This window comes from Homo sapiens, chromosome 17, assembly GCF_000001405.40.
Source record: "Homo sapiens chromosome 17, GRCh38.p14 Primary Assembly".
In the NCBI taxonomy this organism is placed as follows: Eukaryota; Metazoa; Chordata; class Mammalia; order Primates; family Hominidae; genus Homo; species Homo sapiens.
The window spans coordinates 55,249,409-55,265,751 of NC_000017.11; the positions used below are offsets into that span (position 1 = coordinate 55,249,409).

At 44.4% G+C, this 16,343-nt stretch overlaps 1 protein-coding gene across 3 annotated transcripts in view, besides 1 other annotated feature; it reads left to right on the top strand.

The window, feature by feature from the left end:
* Positions 15,356-15,675: a silencer, noted in NCBI's record as "silent region_8731". NCBI's record gives its function as "represses an Ori minimal core promoter by ATAC-STARR-seq in GM12878 lymphoblastoid cells {active_cell/tissue: GM12878}" and the evidence as "EXISTENCE:reporter gene assay evidence [ECO:0000049][PMID:35858748]".
* Positions 15,552-16,343, top strand: part of HLF (HLF transcription factor, PAR bZIP family member) — a 60,228-nt gene continuing 59,436 nt past the window's right edge. For all 3 annotated transcript variants that reach the window (XR_002957996.2, NM_002126.5, XM_005257269.3), the window contains exon 1: positions 15,552-16,191. Coding sequence is in view for 2 of the 3 variants with exons in the window: in NM_002126.5 (NP_002117.1) it covers positions 16,077-16,191 (115 nt within the window). In the remaining variant the exon portion in view is untranslated. The remainder of the gene's footprint in view (positions 16,192-16,343) is intronic.

The following is a 16,343-nucleotide window of genomic DNA, read 5'->3' on the forward strand; positions in this document are numbered from 1 at the left end:
AATCAGGAGATGGCAATTCCAATTCCACCTCTGCTCATGGCGTTAGGCACTCAGGGCTTCAGTCTCCTCATCTGATGTGAACCTTCAGACTCTTGCAGGAAGCAGGACGTGGAATCTGCAGCTGGTAAGGCGTCACCTAAACGGCTTCGTAATCAGCATATTAGACTGACTCCTCTGCTCCCACTCCTTAAATCTACACACATCCTCTGGGGCACAGCTTCCTTGCATTCCCCAAGAAAACCAAGAATTAACTGCTTCGTTCATTACTTTTTTTTTTTTTTTTGAGACAGAGTCTCACTCTGTCACCCAGGCTGGAGTGCAGTGGCACGATCTCGGCTCACTGCAACCTCTGCCTCCTGGGTTCAAGCGATTCTCTTGCCTCAGCTTCCCAAGTAGCTGGGACTAAAGGCGCCTGCCACCACGCCTGGCTAATTTTTTTGTATTTTTAGTAGAGACGGGATTTCATCATGTTAGCCAGGATGGTCTCGATCTCCTGATTTCATGATCCGCCCACCTTGGCCTCCCAAAGTGCTGGGATTACAGGCGTAAGCCACCGCGCCTGGGCCCATTCATTACATTTTTATTAAAGACCTCCTAGGTTCCTTATATTGTGTCTGGGTTACACTGATAAGACAAAACCTGTGATCCCTGACCTCATGGAGTTTACAGTTAAGTAGGAGGCCAAAGGTCAAAAGCAAACAGATGAAGAAACAGTTACTTTAAAAAGCATGCAGAAATAAACGAATAAGGCTTTGAGAAAAAGAGTAACACTACTTTAGAGAAGGCAGCTACTTCAGAAGGTGATGATTAGGCTGAGCTCTAAAGGATGAGAAGGAAGTAGCTGCTTTGGGAAAAGTGGCCGATATGGTTGGATATTTATTTGTCCCCTCCAAATCTCATGTTGAAATGTGATCCCCAGTGCTGGAGGTGGGGCCTGGTGGGAGGTGTTAGAATCATGGGGGCGGATCCCTCATGAATGGCTTGGAACTGTTTTTGCTATAATCAGTAAGTTCTTACTCTATGAGTTCACAGGAGATCTGGTTGTTTAAAAGAGCCTGGCAACCCCACCCCCCTACCCGCCTCTCTCTTGCTTCCTTTCTTTCCATGAGATATACTGGCTCCCCCTTTGCCTTTCACCATAATTGTAAGCTCCCTGAGGCCTTCACTAGAAATAGATCCTGGCACCACACTTCCTGCACAGCCTGCAGAGCTGCAAGCTAAAACAAACCTCTTTTCTTTATAAATTACACAGTCTCAGGTATTCCTTTATAGCAGTACAAAAGTGGACTAACACAGTGGCAGAAAGAGCTTGAGGCAGAGGGAACAGCATATGTAAAGGCCCTGAGACTGGAAGGAACTTGACAGCTTTGAGAAACTGAGGCCTGAGCTAGTGAAGCCGGAAATACAGTCAGGGGTTAGAAGCTGCAAAGCAAGGCTTGAAAGCTGTGGGAAGTAGCTGACATTTTAACTGAAATGCAACAGAAAGCCAGAGAATTTTAAGTTCAGAAGAAGTAATTGACCCCTTTCCCTCTTTAATCCTACTCCCTTTTTGGGGTGAATTTTATTGATGTTTAACACACACTGGGAAGAGTCCACACATTGTAAGTGTTCAGCTCAATACATTTTAACCATGCAGAAATCCCTATTTAACCATCACGGAGATCAAGAAATAGAACATTATCCCAACTCCAGCATCTCTGATCATATTCCATTCCGTTCACTTACCCAACCCAGTCCTGTGCTGAAGCTAGCTCCTATGGCTTTTGAGTGCCAGTTATCATAGATATGGTCATTATCTTGGTTATAGTAATGGCTTCATGGGTGTACACAGATGTCAAAATTTATCAAATTGTATACTTTATCATGTATAGTTTATTGTATGTCAATTATACCTCAATAAAACTACCAAAGAGAAAAAAGTGCCTGAAACATGCTCAGTAAGCATTTGTTGAAAAGATAAATAAATATGGACTAGATTAGGAGTCTTCAAAGATGGTGGAAATCGAGAGTATCATTGGATATTTGCAGTCATTTTAGTCCTGTGTTCTCAGGTGACATTACCTGTTGGGGCTTTACATTTGTAGGAGAGTGAGATGCTAGAAAGATCATTTGGCACACAGTAATAGGTAATAAATATTCAAAATTCATTACTTCCTATTTATTTCACTATGTTATACACTTATTTATGCTCTTGAGGTTATTTATCTATTGTATCTGTCTAGTAGAAATATCACATAATGCTATGCTATAGCACACACTTCTCCTACTCCATGTTAAGTGATGTCATGTTAGTAGGTTGAAATTGGCAATGGTTAGGAGTATTTACACCATGGACATTAGCCAGCATGGCTTTCTTGCTCAGAGGAGAGCCAGTCGTTAAACATTTATCAGGCCCCCACCCACCCTCAAGAGTATGATGGCTGCTAATCATACTCATAATCATAGGATATTTATATGCAAGCACATACCCTTTTACATCTGATTTCTTTGACCCTCTCCACATTACATTTGTGGGATTCATCAGCCGTGTTGTGTGAAGTGGATTCACTGAGGGTAAAACGAATAGCAGGGCTACAAAAATGAAAGAGGTGGACCCCAGTCAAGAGGTACATTTAGCTAGATTCCGCTACAGGAAAATACCTGATAATGCAGTTAGCAGGGGGAGGGACAGATTTGGGCTGGAACCCAAGGCAAATGGACCAGATTTCTGATGTCAAAGAGGAGTCATAGCTTCTGGGAAGGGTTATAGGACCTGGTATCACTTTGGAGGAGAAAAGACTGAGGACTGCATGAAAGGTGAACTATATCTGGTCTTAGGAGGGGGCACTGGCTACAGGATTTGTAACTGATCGTTGGAGGATTAGGTGTTCAGGAAATGAACATATGGTAAAGGAGATGAGGCTCTTGTAGACAAGGCAGATTGCAGCCATGATATTAAGATGCCTTTTGCAGAAAGAACAGTATTATTGTAGGTCCTTGGTTTCAAAGCCTTCTTTGGTTTGAAAGAGGATGGGAAAGGTGACTAAACACACAGGAAGAGAAAGAGGAGGAAGCTTATCTCGATGGTAAAATTATACTGATAAAATATTGGGTGGGGAAAACCAGGATGAGGATTATAGGAGATAAAGGGGTTGATTTTTTTCAAGGTGCAATATACAAAATCCTGAATGAATTAAAAGAAGAGAAAATATTTCCATTCTTGTGTGTGTGTTTATCCATTCATATATTTGATATTTATGTTTCAGACTCATTCAAACTCAGTGCAATTGACTAAGAGGCAATGTCTGAGTCTAGAATTTTGCTTTTACAGCCAAAGTCTCTAAAAGTGGTAGCTGGAGAGGAAAAGACCATGCACTTCAGAGCAGAGGCAGGTGGGGGAGTTGAGAGACAGAGAGAGAGAGAGCCAGGGAGAGAGGGAGAAACATGGAGCAGAGGAAAGAAGCTAGCCCCTCTGGTTTTCCTCCCCTGCCCTCCCTACCAACCAACTCAGCAAGCAGTGGCAGGAAGATGCGCCAGGGGAAAGCATTCTCTCTTTTCTTTCTTTCTTTTTTTTTTTTTGAGACAGGGTTTCACTCTGTCACTCAGGCTGGAGTGCAGTGGTGTGATCTCGGCTCACTGCAACCTCCACCTCCTGGGCTCAAGCAATCCTCTTGCCTCAGCCCCCCAACTAACTGGGTGTACAGGTGCAAGCCACCACGCTTGGCTAATTTTTTTTTGTAGAGACGGGGTTTCACCATATTGCCCAGGCTGGTCTCAAACTCTTGAGCTCCAGTGATCCATCCGCCTCGGCCTCCCGAAGTGCTAGGATTACAGGCATGAGGCACCAGGCCTGGTCCATTTCTAATTTTTTCAACTGACTAGTACTCAACTGTAGAACTGTCTAGATTGCATGATAACTAGTCAGGATAAGCTCTAATACTCATCTAGAAACTAGGACAGTGTTTTTGCAGTATGATAACAGAACCGCATAATATGTCGGAATAACCTTTTGTAGTGGGTTCTGTCCCTTCAAAAAGATATGTCCAAATCCTAACCCCTAGTACCTATGAATGTGACCTTATTTGGAAATAGGATCTTTGTAGCTGTAATTAAGTTAAGGATGTCAAGATGAAATCATCTTGTATTTAGGGTGTACCATAAATCCAGTGACTGGTGTTCTTCCATAAGAGAAAGGAGAGGGATATTTCAGACACACAGACACAGAGAAAAGGGCCATGTGCAGAGACTGCAGTGATGCAGCCACAAGCCAAAGAATGCCTGGGGCCAACAGAAGCTGGAAGAGGCAAGGGAGGATTCTGCCCTGGTGCCTTTGGAGGGAGCGTGGCCTTGCTTACACTTCAACTTCAGACTTCTGGCCTCCAGAACTGTGACAGAAAAGTTTCTGTTGTTTTCAGACACTGAGTTTATGGTAATTTGTTAGGGCAGCCATAGAAAACTACCCACCTTGTTAAAAAGGCAGATACTTCAACTCCATTCCAGACTATTCAACAGGAATCTTTAGCCGCAGGACCAAGAATCTGCATTCTAACCAGCTCCTCTAAACTGTGGTATTATAAAGTTTGACAGCTACTGATGAAGAACAACTGAGTGTGGCTTTTGTCTTTCAGTGCTGAAATGATCCTGAATTGTAAGGTTTATGTTTTTTTTAATAAAAAAAAGAAAATCCAGGCCAGGCACGGTGGCTCATGCCTGTAATCCCAGCACTTTGGGAGGCCAAGGCAGGAGGATCACCTGAGGTTGGGAGTTCGAGACCAGCCTCACCAACATGAAGAAACCCCGTCTCTACTAAAAATACCAAAATTGGCTGGGCGTGATGGCACATGCCTGTAATCCCAGCTACTCGGGAGACTGAGGCAGGATAATCAATTGAACCCAGGAGGCGGAGGTTGCCGTGAGCCAAGATCGCGCCACTGGACTCCAGGCTGGGCAATAAGAATGAAACTCCATCTCCAAAAAAAAAAAAAAAAGCAAAAGAAAGAAAGAAAATCCCATGGGCTGCCTGCCATCTTCTTAACAAAGAACCAGAATGGTTAGGCAATGGTATGAGATACCCAGATTACTAGTTTTCGGCGGCTTGTAACTACTTAAGCACTGACTGAGTAGCAACTGGACCCACAAGCCTACAAACACGACAGTAGGTCCCACTTGGACAGGAAGTTATTCTGACTCAGGGTGTGCAGAAACTAATAAGGAAGGAGAGCTGAATGGTCAGGGTTAAGTCACAGTAGGTAAACAGAAACCCAAGCTGGGGAGGTAATGGAGACTATGGGAAGCGCTGATAACAAACACGACCAACATTCAGATTTGGATAAAAGCTGACAGCAAAGGAGGAAGGACCACATTACTGAACTCTGTAAACGATATTTTTCACTCCTTCAGGGGCAGGCAAATAAGAAGAGTTGAAATGTGAGAGTTGGAAAAAACAATGCTTGGCAAACTGATCAGTTTAGATGACCCACCTTTCAATGACCCACCATGTTGGTGTTGCCCCAGTGAAATCTGTATATTTAAGCCTTCAAACAGTTACTGAATGTCTTCTATGTAGTGGGTATACTGTTTGGTGGAAGGACACATGTCAAGAAGAAAGAACCACACCCTTGAGGAGCAGTCAGGGAGATGGACATGAAAGCAAAAGTGTTTTGCTTTGTGCTCCTGAGAGCACAAAGGAGGACTAACTTTTTCTGGGGGCATCAGGAAGATTTCACCAAGGAAGGCAGCTGAGCGGAGCCCTGAAGATTGAAACAGCCATTCATCTGACCAGGACAGGAAAGCTAGCATGAAGCATGAGAGCACGCCAACTCATATTTATTGAGCTTGTCCTTTGTGCCAGGCACTAGTCTAAGTTTTCCCTAGGTATTAATGCATCTAATCCTCATCTGTGAGCTTGGTACAATTATTCTGCTCACTTCACAGTTGGGAAAACTGAAGCACCCAGAAGCTCAGTGACTTACCCAAAGTCACCCACCCAGCTAATTCATGGTGGAACCAGCATTGAGCTCCAGTGGTCTTGTTCCAGAGCTCCTTTTTGAGAACCACTGAGATAGACTTAGACTGAATTTTAGTTTCTGCTCCTTACTAGCTGTGTGACCTCAACATGTTACTCAACCTCTCAAAGCTTCAATATCCTCATCTACAAAATGAAGAATTCAGTGGGCATATGTACTTCTGTCTGCCTGGGGTTCGTTCCTCTTGGAAATTGCTCCTCCTTTCCCTCTAACCATCAGTGCCAGTTGGAATGGTCATGTTCTTAACAGCCCCATTACTAATTAATCCAAGAATAGACAGCTGATCTAAGCTGGGCCTATCTAAACTCTTCTCTGAGAATTTTTTTTCTCCTAGGCTGAAGTGCAGTGGTGCAATCTTGGCTCACTGCAACCTCCGCCTCCCAGGTTCAAGCGATTCTCGTGCCTTAGCCTCCTGAGTAGCTGGGATTACAGGTGCGAACCATTACAGTTGGATAATTTTGGTATTTTCAGTAGAGACAGGAGTTTGCCATGTTGGCCAGACTGGTCTCAAACTGGGCCTCAAGTGATCTGCCCACTTCGGCCTCCCAAAGTGCTGGGATTACAGGTGTCAGTCACCGTGCCTGGCCTCTCTGGGATTTTTTAAACTAAAACTGAGAAAGAAAATTAGTCCCTCTCTGGTGGAGGAAAGGCAAATATGTAAAACTCCTGAGCTACTGGAAGTCACATGCTCCAGTGTGTGGTAGAGGTTAAGTTTGCAGAGAATAAAAACAACACAAAAAGAGAAGGAAGAGACTGAAAAGGCTTTCAAAACTCCTGCATTTGCCTAAGCCAGTTCGACTTGGGTTTATGACATAGGAAAGAATTTTCATCAGTAAGAAATAGTAGTACCTGTTTCCTAGGGTTGTTTTAAAGATGGGTTACCATGATGCATGCAAAGAATTTAGCACAGTGCCTAGCCCAGTCAGTAGTCAGCAAATAATAGTTCTTACTGTTACAATAATCAGTGGCATTCTTCCTCTAGTAAGCTTTGCATTCCAGAAAACTGGACAGCTTGTATTCAGACTGTGGTATTCCTGCCTGTGTAGACCGTACTGGCATTCCTCGCCCACTCCCTGCCTCCCTGATGTACTCTTATTCTGTCTACAGAACCTTACTTGAAGCTCATCTATAAAGACTTCTTTGAGCCCTTCGGACAGAGTTAATCACTTTCCCACTCATACTCCCTTTTTCCTTATTTATCAATGATACCTATCACACTGAGATAGGTATTTGGTTAAGTTGCTATATCCCCACCTGACTGTAAGGCCTTTGTGACCATATTTCTCCTCCTTGCTTTAGTCCTCAGTGCCCAGCACAGTGCCTGGCCTAAGAAAGCCCTCCCATCAGTGTTGTGTGCATTGAGGAGCAGAGGACTAAGTTGTCGTCTCAGGAAAGCAGACCTGCTGAAAGCTCATCAATCTTAATGTTCCCTGCCTGACACCAAAAATGCATTAACAGATGGGGAATGGTGTGCTTGGAACCTAGTAAAAGTGAAGTCGAAAGAGTCAGGAATGCTGCCTCCAGTGCTGTACAAAGACCAGCAGATGCAATGCCTTTGAGGCAATAATAAGTAGGAAGAAAGTAACCCTAGAATGTGTCTATTGATGTGTAAGATCTAAAACCACAGCGGGCCAAGCAAGACCCTTCAGGATGCTTCCTCCTGCTTCTCTCACCCTGGCTGCAAGTCCCTGGGATGGAAACATTCACATCCACATGCTCAATTGGAAAGAAGTACTCGGCAAGGCTATGCGCACCCGGCTGGCACTGCCTGATGTCATTAAAGTCATGCGATTCACTCCCCTTGCTCTGATTCCACGCTCAGCAAGAAAGCTCCCATGGAGAGTATCCCTACAGGGCAGGGAACACATTGTCCAGCTGACACAAATTTTTAAGTATTGCTTGAAGTTCAACACGCCTGGCATGCTCCTTAGAAAGACCTCCTTTTTAAAGGAAAGCTATGCCGGGCTAATCTGGTTGCACATGGTACATGCCAGTGTCTGAGTCAAACCAGTTGCCTTGGGCTCTATAATTGGATCAATTACCAATGTTCCAACAAAGATACTCATTTACAGGTATAAGGTTAGCCAATCACTTATGAGATGGCTCCTGTGAGACTCCACCCAATGCAGAAACTTCAAAGAAAATGGTGACAATGTCTATGAATCAGAACCTTTGTTTTGGGATTAAGACACAATAAAGGGAGGGAAGTTGGTCCTGATGCCCTACATGATGACAGGCCATTGTTCAAGTTCTCCCCAGGTTTTCAGGATGCATTGGTCATGAAAATACTTGGTCCACCAGAGCATGCATATACCCTCAGCATGGTTTTGTGGTCTTGCTCTCCACTTGCTTAGCTTAAAAATAAACTCTGATCACCTGAGGATACCTGGTCTTATATTTCCCATGCACATAAAAGAGCCTGAAGTGCAGCTTAGAAATTATATATAATTTTTAATTTTGATTTTCAAGTTATATTTTAGAATGTGGTTGATGTCAGTCAGTTTCACTCAGCCTAATTGACATTGGATCCTAAGCAAATTAAAGACTAGATTCTGAGTCATGGTGATTTTCTGCCTCTACAGCTCAACTGTCTCTACCTTCAGTTGCATTTACTAGACTTGAAATAATTTTAAAGTGTTAGTTAATCCACAAACTTCTATTCCTTCACCCTTTATGAAGATATAGGAAATATCTATTCTTTCCTGACTCTGGCTGAGTGGCTATTTGGAATCTGCTATATTTGATTTTTTTTATTGAACTTCAAACTTGTGTTTTTTGGTTTTTTTTAAATTATACTTTAAGTTTTAGGGTACATGTGCACAACGTGCAGGTTAGTTACATATGTATACATGTGCCATGTTGGTGTGCTGCACCCAGTAACTCGTCATTTAACATTAGGTATATCTCCAAATGCTATCCCTCCCCCCTCCCCCCACCCCGCAACAGGCCCCGGTGTGTGATGTTCCCCTTCCTGTGTCCATGTGTTCTCATTGTTCAATTCCCCTTTTGGAGACTGGGAGCAATAGAATGTAGCTGCCCCTGGTGAGAGAAAATGGTGAGAAGAAAAAAGGATGTGTGTTTGGATGAAAAGTAGCTTCTAATATCATGGACTACATCAACAGTTTTGCAGATTCATAAGTGGGAGCATCTCTGCAAAGGAGCAGAGAAACCAGAAAATGCAAAAAAGCCCCAAATAGCAAGCCCTCACATTTGTTTAGCGCTTCACAATGTACCAAGCACCTCCACATGAGTTATCTCATTTAATCCTCCTAGCAACTCTGCAAGCTGGGAAGCACAGGCATTAGTTTATATTTCACACAAAGAAACTTGAGATCAGAGAGGTTATCCAAGGTCACGGGACAGAAGCAGGATTTGAACCAGTTACAAACGGTGTAAGCTTATTGAATGAATGTTTGTCCTTCATTTACTGGAGCAAGGTTAAGAGTGCAAGCACTGGAGTCAAGCAGACCTGTTTTCAACTCATAGCTTCTCCATGTATTAGCTAGCCATAGGATCATGACAAGTCACTAATTTCTCTGGGCCTCACTGTCCTCATCTGAAAAATGGGAATAATGAAATATACCCTATATCATTGTCCCAAGTAATACATAAGATAATATATTTAACAGGTCTAATGTTGCTCCAGAACACAGTTAAACACACAATAATTTATGCCTTCTTCATGCTGTTGTTGGCATTTGTTGTAGTAGTAGAAGTAGTAATAGTGGCAGGTGTCAATGTATATCTGGCCCCAAATCCTGCGTTCATTCTATGCAACACACTGCACTGATTTTTTTTTCTTCTCCTTTTGCCACGCGTATTTTTTCTTTCTCTTTTATACAGTTTTCTTTCATCCTCCTTCCTATCACATGTATAGAAATCCTACCATCCTCTGATTTGAAACACACATACAGACACATGCCTGATTTAGTACCTCTTCTACCGATCTACCTGTCTTAGTCTTTCCCACTCATTTACCCAAACAATACAGGGCTCAGGGAAAGGACGGGGAAGCCTCAAGGAAAGCACAGGGAAGGACTCATGCTCCTTTACATAAGTCAGTCTCAGAGGAGGGCTTGGCATTCCCAACAAATGTTTTATTGTTTTGGTTTCCATGATCCTACACCAAGTGAAGAGATTTGAGGGTCTCCAGTAGTTAAGCTAATTAGATATAATTTTCCTTTTTGGTGCTTTAGCTGAGTTAGAGGTTTCAGGAAGGAGAGAAGGAAGAAGCCTGGGTTAGGCATATCTAGCCTAACTCCCACGTGATGCCTTTCACTTCTGAATTAATTCCCTGGATAAAGTACCCTTTCTGACAACGAGATAAACAGGTTCATCCAGAGGTTTGGCTCACTAGACTATAAAGCCCTTCATAACCACAGTGCTCGTCTCCATCCACCCCAGGCTCCTAGCCCCAAGTAGGCTACAGTGGCAGGCATTGTGTGCTCAACAAGGCTTCACACCCACTGGGAATCTGAAACATAAACACTGCTTACACTGCAAAGTTCTCTCTGCAGACCTGCAAGGCTGGTGCCAAAATGGCTGCCTCACGTCTGCCCCCACCGGGCTGCACAAAGGACTCCCCACCCAATCTCACTATCAAAACCTCTGAAATGACAGGACAGGTGGCAACCACTGGCTGGGCAAAAGGCTGATTTCCAGAACTTCAGAGGAGAGCTGTGCTGGCATCCTTTAAGAAGTTGATTCTGGGGAACGTTTCTTCTATGGTCATTCCTATTTTTAGGACAGTTTTAAACCTCCAGAGCTTCTGCTATTCCTTTCTCCTTGAAGGGCCAACTGAAGGGTTTTTCAGTGGCTTGTCAAATGTTCTTTATCTAGTATTTGTTTGTTCGAATTTCTCTAACAAAGAGGTTTAGTTTTGACTTACTGTTTAAGCACATGCAGGTTAAGACAGGAGCACTGAGGCATTACTAGTTGTAACCAAAGACATCCAATAGGCTTAATTATTTGCTCATACACAAAAAAGCAAATTGGATAATGCCTCTGCTTTTGGCTCTTATCTAACTTAATGTGGACAACTTTGTAGAGGTCTTGTCAACAAACTGAATGAGCCACTGAAAGTGAGGCATTCATTTTAGCCGTAAACTTTGGTGAACTTTTTTCTGTTGCTGGATATGAATCAGATCCCAGGAAACTTAGAAAGAACATAGAAATAGCATTATTCTGTCCTTAGTGATAAAATACCCATTTTTCCTCGGGATCAAAAGTTTGGGTCACCCACAAATACACAGTCAAATAATTGTCAGCAATAACATCAAAAGAATTCAAGGGGGGGCCGGGCGCGGTGGCTCACGCCTGTAATCCCAGCACTCTGGGAAGCCAAGGTCCACGGATCACCTGAGGTCGGGAGTTCGAGACCAGCCTGGCCAACATGGAGAACCCCGTCGCTACTAAAAATATTAATACTAAATACTAATACCCCATCGCTACTAAAAATACTAATAAAAATTGCCGGATGTGGCGGCTGGTGCCTGTAATCCCAGCTACTCAGGAGGCTGAGGCAGGAGAATTGCTTGAACCTAGGAGGCGGAGGTTGCGGTGAGCTGAGATCACGCCATTGCACTCCAGTCTGGGCAACAAGAGCGAGACTCCATCTCAAAACAAAACAAAACAAACAACAACAACAAACAATTCAAGGGGGAAATGAAAGTCTAAAACAATTGGATATCCCCATGAGTAAAACCAACCTTAATCCTTACCTCATAGTATACACAAAAATTAATTTGAAATGGGTCATAAGGCTAAATGAAAAAGCTTAAACTATGAAAGTTATAAAGGAAAGTATAGGAGAATATCTCCAGAACTCAGGAGTAGTCAAAAGTTTCCTAGTTCATAGCAAGCAATAATCATGAAAAACAAATTGATAAATTGAACTTTGTCAAAATTAAAAACTGCTCATGGAAAGACGTTATTATAAAAACTAATCAGCAAGCCACAGATTGGAAGAAAATATTCACAACACACAAACATCTGACAAAGAGACTATCCAAAGTATATAAAAGAACTCCTAAAATTCAGTAATCAAAAGATAACCAAATTCAAAAATGGGCAAGAGACTTGAACAGGAAGATGTACAAGCTACTAAGAAGCACATGAAGTAGCACATGCCATCATTTTTCATCAGGAAAATTCAGATGAAAGGTCCATTGAGAACTGACTATCCACCCACTAGAATGGCTACAAGTTTTAAGAGAAACTGACACCACTAAATATTGGTGAGGCGCTAGAACAACCAGAACTCTCATATACTGCTGCTGGAAATGCAGGACAATTTACCTGCTTCAGAAGACTATAGAAGAGCTTCTTCTAAAGTAAAACACACATCTTTTCTATGATCCAGTAATCCTACTCCTATTTGTTTATCCAAGAGAAAGGAAAGCATGTGTTCACAAAAGAACTCAGACAAGAATTCTCATAAACATTTTATTCATGCCTAAAAACTGGAAACAACCCAAATGTCCACCAATACAACAGATAAACTTTTGTATATTCATAGAGCGGAATACTACTCACTAATATAAAGAAATGAACTATATGCAACATTGGTGAATGTCTAAAATACTGTGCAGAGTGAAAGAAGCTACACACAAGAGAGTATATACAGTATGATTTCACTTGTATGAAATTATAAAACAAGCAAAATGAATCTATGGTGTAAGGAGGCCATGTAAAGAGAAAGAGAAGGCCAGCCAGCCCAGTATCCCAGCTGAGCCTAACCTAGATTGCAGAATAATGAGAAATAATAAAATGATTGTTGTTTTAAGCCACTAGGTTTTGGAGTGATCTGTTACACAGCAATCAATAATCAGCATCATTGCTTTCCTCATGGAATTGTCAGAAGTATGTGATATGACACATATGGAAGGGCTCTGTAAGTGGACAAGTGCTAAGCACTTGTGAGCGGCAGTTATCTCTGGGCATATGTGCAGATTGGGGTTAGTGCTCATTAGGGATATGTCCATTTGAGAATTAACCTGTGGAATTCAGAGGGTCTTACTACCCAACCAATATAACCTTTGGTTTCTTCTATCCCTCTCCTTCCTCTTGAGCAGCCATCCACAACTGCTTCTGGGGAAGAGAGAGAGAGAAAGAGAAAGAAAGATGTTCATGGTTTGTTAAAAAAATAAAAGAAAATAACATTTACAAATGGCCAGAGTAGAAAAGATGTACCAATTTCATTTATCTTGTTAAGGAATGGGGCTAGATTGAAGATTAGCCAATGCTTATAATTTTTGAGGCTCTAAGAAATACCTTTGAAGTTAGAGAAGGATGGAGAGAAGTGAGAGGGAGTCACCATGGTCTAAGGGGCTGGTCCTCAATCTGGTCCGTGACATGTTGATCAGGCTCAGGGAAATTAAATTAAATGAACCAAATTCCCAAGAAACTGCTTGATCAACCAGAACGCCAGTTTATCCACTTGCAATGAGAAATGCAATTTCCAAGCCACAGTATTTGGTTCTGTCAGGTGGTAAGGAGAAGATTACCCTGGGAAACCAGATTACTTGACCTGGTAAGAGTTTCATGTCTGGAAACATGGGGAAGTGAGGACATGCGGAGAATCATGAGCAGGTGGAGCACTTTGGGCGTGCTGAGTAATGTCAGTGGACTGTTACACAAAGCTTAGGTAACGCATCTTTCATGCACCTGGAATCTGCAATCTAACAGATTTCTAACCAGGCTGAGAGGATGCTCTCAGTCCTGCCAGTTTATGGACTTACAGGGATGTAAGGAACTCAAGACAGGGAAATAGCCTCTGTCTCCAAAAGGATAGCGGAGATGAGGTCCCTTTTTTATTTTTTAAAAAAACAATATAATATAATTGATGGATTCAGACCGTTCACGAGAGACTATTACCTCCACGCCCAGCTCAGGCACCTTCTCTAGAATCCCTTTCCTAATAATGTAAGTGCCCCTGTCACCTCCATCTATCCATTTTTGTTCTTTTAAGCCTATTTTATATTATTTGCTTATATGCCAAACCCTAAACGATGAGTTCTTGAAGGTTAAAATTATGTTTTATTCATCTTTTTTCACTAGCCCCCGCATAGTCGCTGGCATACATACCGTGGTGCTCAATAAATGCATGTGGCATTAACTAAAAGTTTGCTGTTTCTGGAATTCGTCTGAAACCTGAAACACTGCAACAACATCTCACTTAGAATGTTGCCTTACCCTTTTGCCATAATTTTAGAGTGAGGAAGTAGAGGTCACTAGATTACGTGTCCTTTTATGAAGAACCTACAGCTCAGGGCAGAAAGGCACTTGCCGGAATCACCCTGCCAGGGAACTCTGAACCCCGCTGCGCCGCCGCTCCTGATCTCTGGGGTTTCAGGCGCCTCCTCTCTTACAACCCTCTCCTGGGGAAGTAAACCCCATCAAGACACCACCACATCCTTCCCCAGCGACTCAGCCTGGGGTCACAAAGGCCTTTACGTCCCACTGAAAAACGGTTTTCTTTCATTTGTGCCCATTCGTTCTTGCAGCCCCTTCCCCAGATCGAAGACTAGGGTCTTAGTAAGGAGAGGTAAGGAGGGAGGGGAAGAACCTGCCTGGCCCCCCGCGGAGCTCTGCAGGGGGCGTCGCGGCTGCACGCCAGCGCCCGCACCACCCCAGGCGGGAAGGGAGTTATCACACAGGGGGTCGCACGCAGATCTCGGGGACCGTGGGTGCCACGAGGTCAAACTGGCAGAGGGAGACGCTGCAGCTGCTGTAACAGCAAGGAAAGCCGAAGCCCCCTTAGGGGATACTTTACAAAATTATTTTAATCACCGTGCAAACCTAATAACTTGACCCAAGCGCAATCACCTGTATTCACCCAGAGTAAATATTCCTAAAATCCCGTTCAGTGTGTCTGTGTCTCTCCCGCCTCTTTCCGTTTCAGGCAAATGTCTACCCCCCCTCTCCCCCCACCGTTAACACCTCTCTGCAGCGTGGGAAACAGTGCCCAGCAGCTCAGTCCTCCGCTTCCCGCTCTGCTTTTTGCATCCCATTCGGACTTATAGGAAGTAGTTATTTTTTGGTGGTGGTGGAAACTGGGCAAGAAAGAAGACGCTAAGCTTGGCCGGGGCCAGGAGAAATATTGAGAAGGGTCGTTACCTTCCATCCGATCTAAACCAATCATCTCAAACTTGGCTACTCTTTGGAACCACCTGGGGAGCTTTAAAAATTATGGACGCCCTGATAGCACCGCAGAGGTTCTGATCTAATTGATCTGGGATGCGGCCTGGGTATCGCGATTTTTTTAAAACTCCTCAGGTTATTCCCAGCTTGAAAACTATGGATATAAATTTCTCATTCCTCTTCCCACCCAGACCAAAAAAAAAAAAAAAAATCTAAGCCTAAGTTGATGGCCCAGGGAATCTGGCACCTGCTCCCCTGCAACCAGCCAGTGCTGCAAGGTCCCCGAAAATCGGCGCGAGCGGCGACGCTAAACACGCGGCGGCGGGGCGAGCGGGCCAGGCGGGCGGTGCCGCGCGTGGCCCCGCCCCCGCACGCCTATGGGCGCGAGGTGCGGGCCCTGACGTCACTCTTGTCAGGGCCGCGGCACATGGGCGGCCGGATGCGCTGAGCCCGGCGCTGCGGGGCCGCGGAGCGCTGGGGAGCAGCGGCCGCCGGCGCGGGGAGGGGGGTGGGGTGGGACGGCGCACCGCCTCCGGTGCTGGCACTAGGGGCTGGGGTCGGCGCGGTGTCTTCTGCCCTTCTGCAGCCGTCGACATTTTTTTTTCTTTCTTTTTTTCAATTTTGAACATTTTGCAAAACGAGGGGTTCGAGGCAGGTGAGAGCATCCTGCACGTCGCCGGGGAGCCCGCGGGCACTTGGCGCGCTCTCCTGGGACCGTCTGCACTGGAAACCCGAAAGTTTTTTTTTAATATATATTTTTATGCAGATGTATTTATAAAGATATAAGTAATTTTTTTCTTCCCTTTTCTCCACCGCCTTGAGAGCGAGTACTTTTGGCAAAGGACGGAGGAAAAGCTCAGCAACATTTTAGGGGGCGGTTGTTTCTTTCTTATTTCTTTTTTTAAGGGGAAAAAATTTGAGTGCATCGCGATGGAGAAAATGTCCCGACCGCTCCCCCTGAATCCCACCTTTATCCCGCCTCCCTACGGCGTGCTCAGGTCCCTGCTGGAGAACCCGCTGAAGCTCCCCCTTCACCACGAAGACGGTGAGCGCTGCCGCGGCCCCGCTCCGGGAAGGGACGACGCTCCGGGGGTCCCCCTCCGCGGCCGGGCACGCCCGCTGGAGCATCCCCCAACCCCGCTCCCGCCCTGTCCCGCGGCGCCCCGGCCCCGCGCTGATGAAATTGAGGAGCTCACC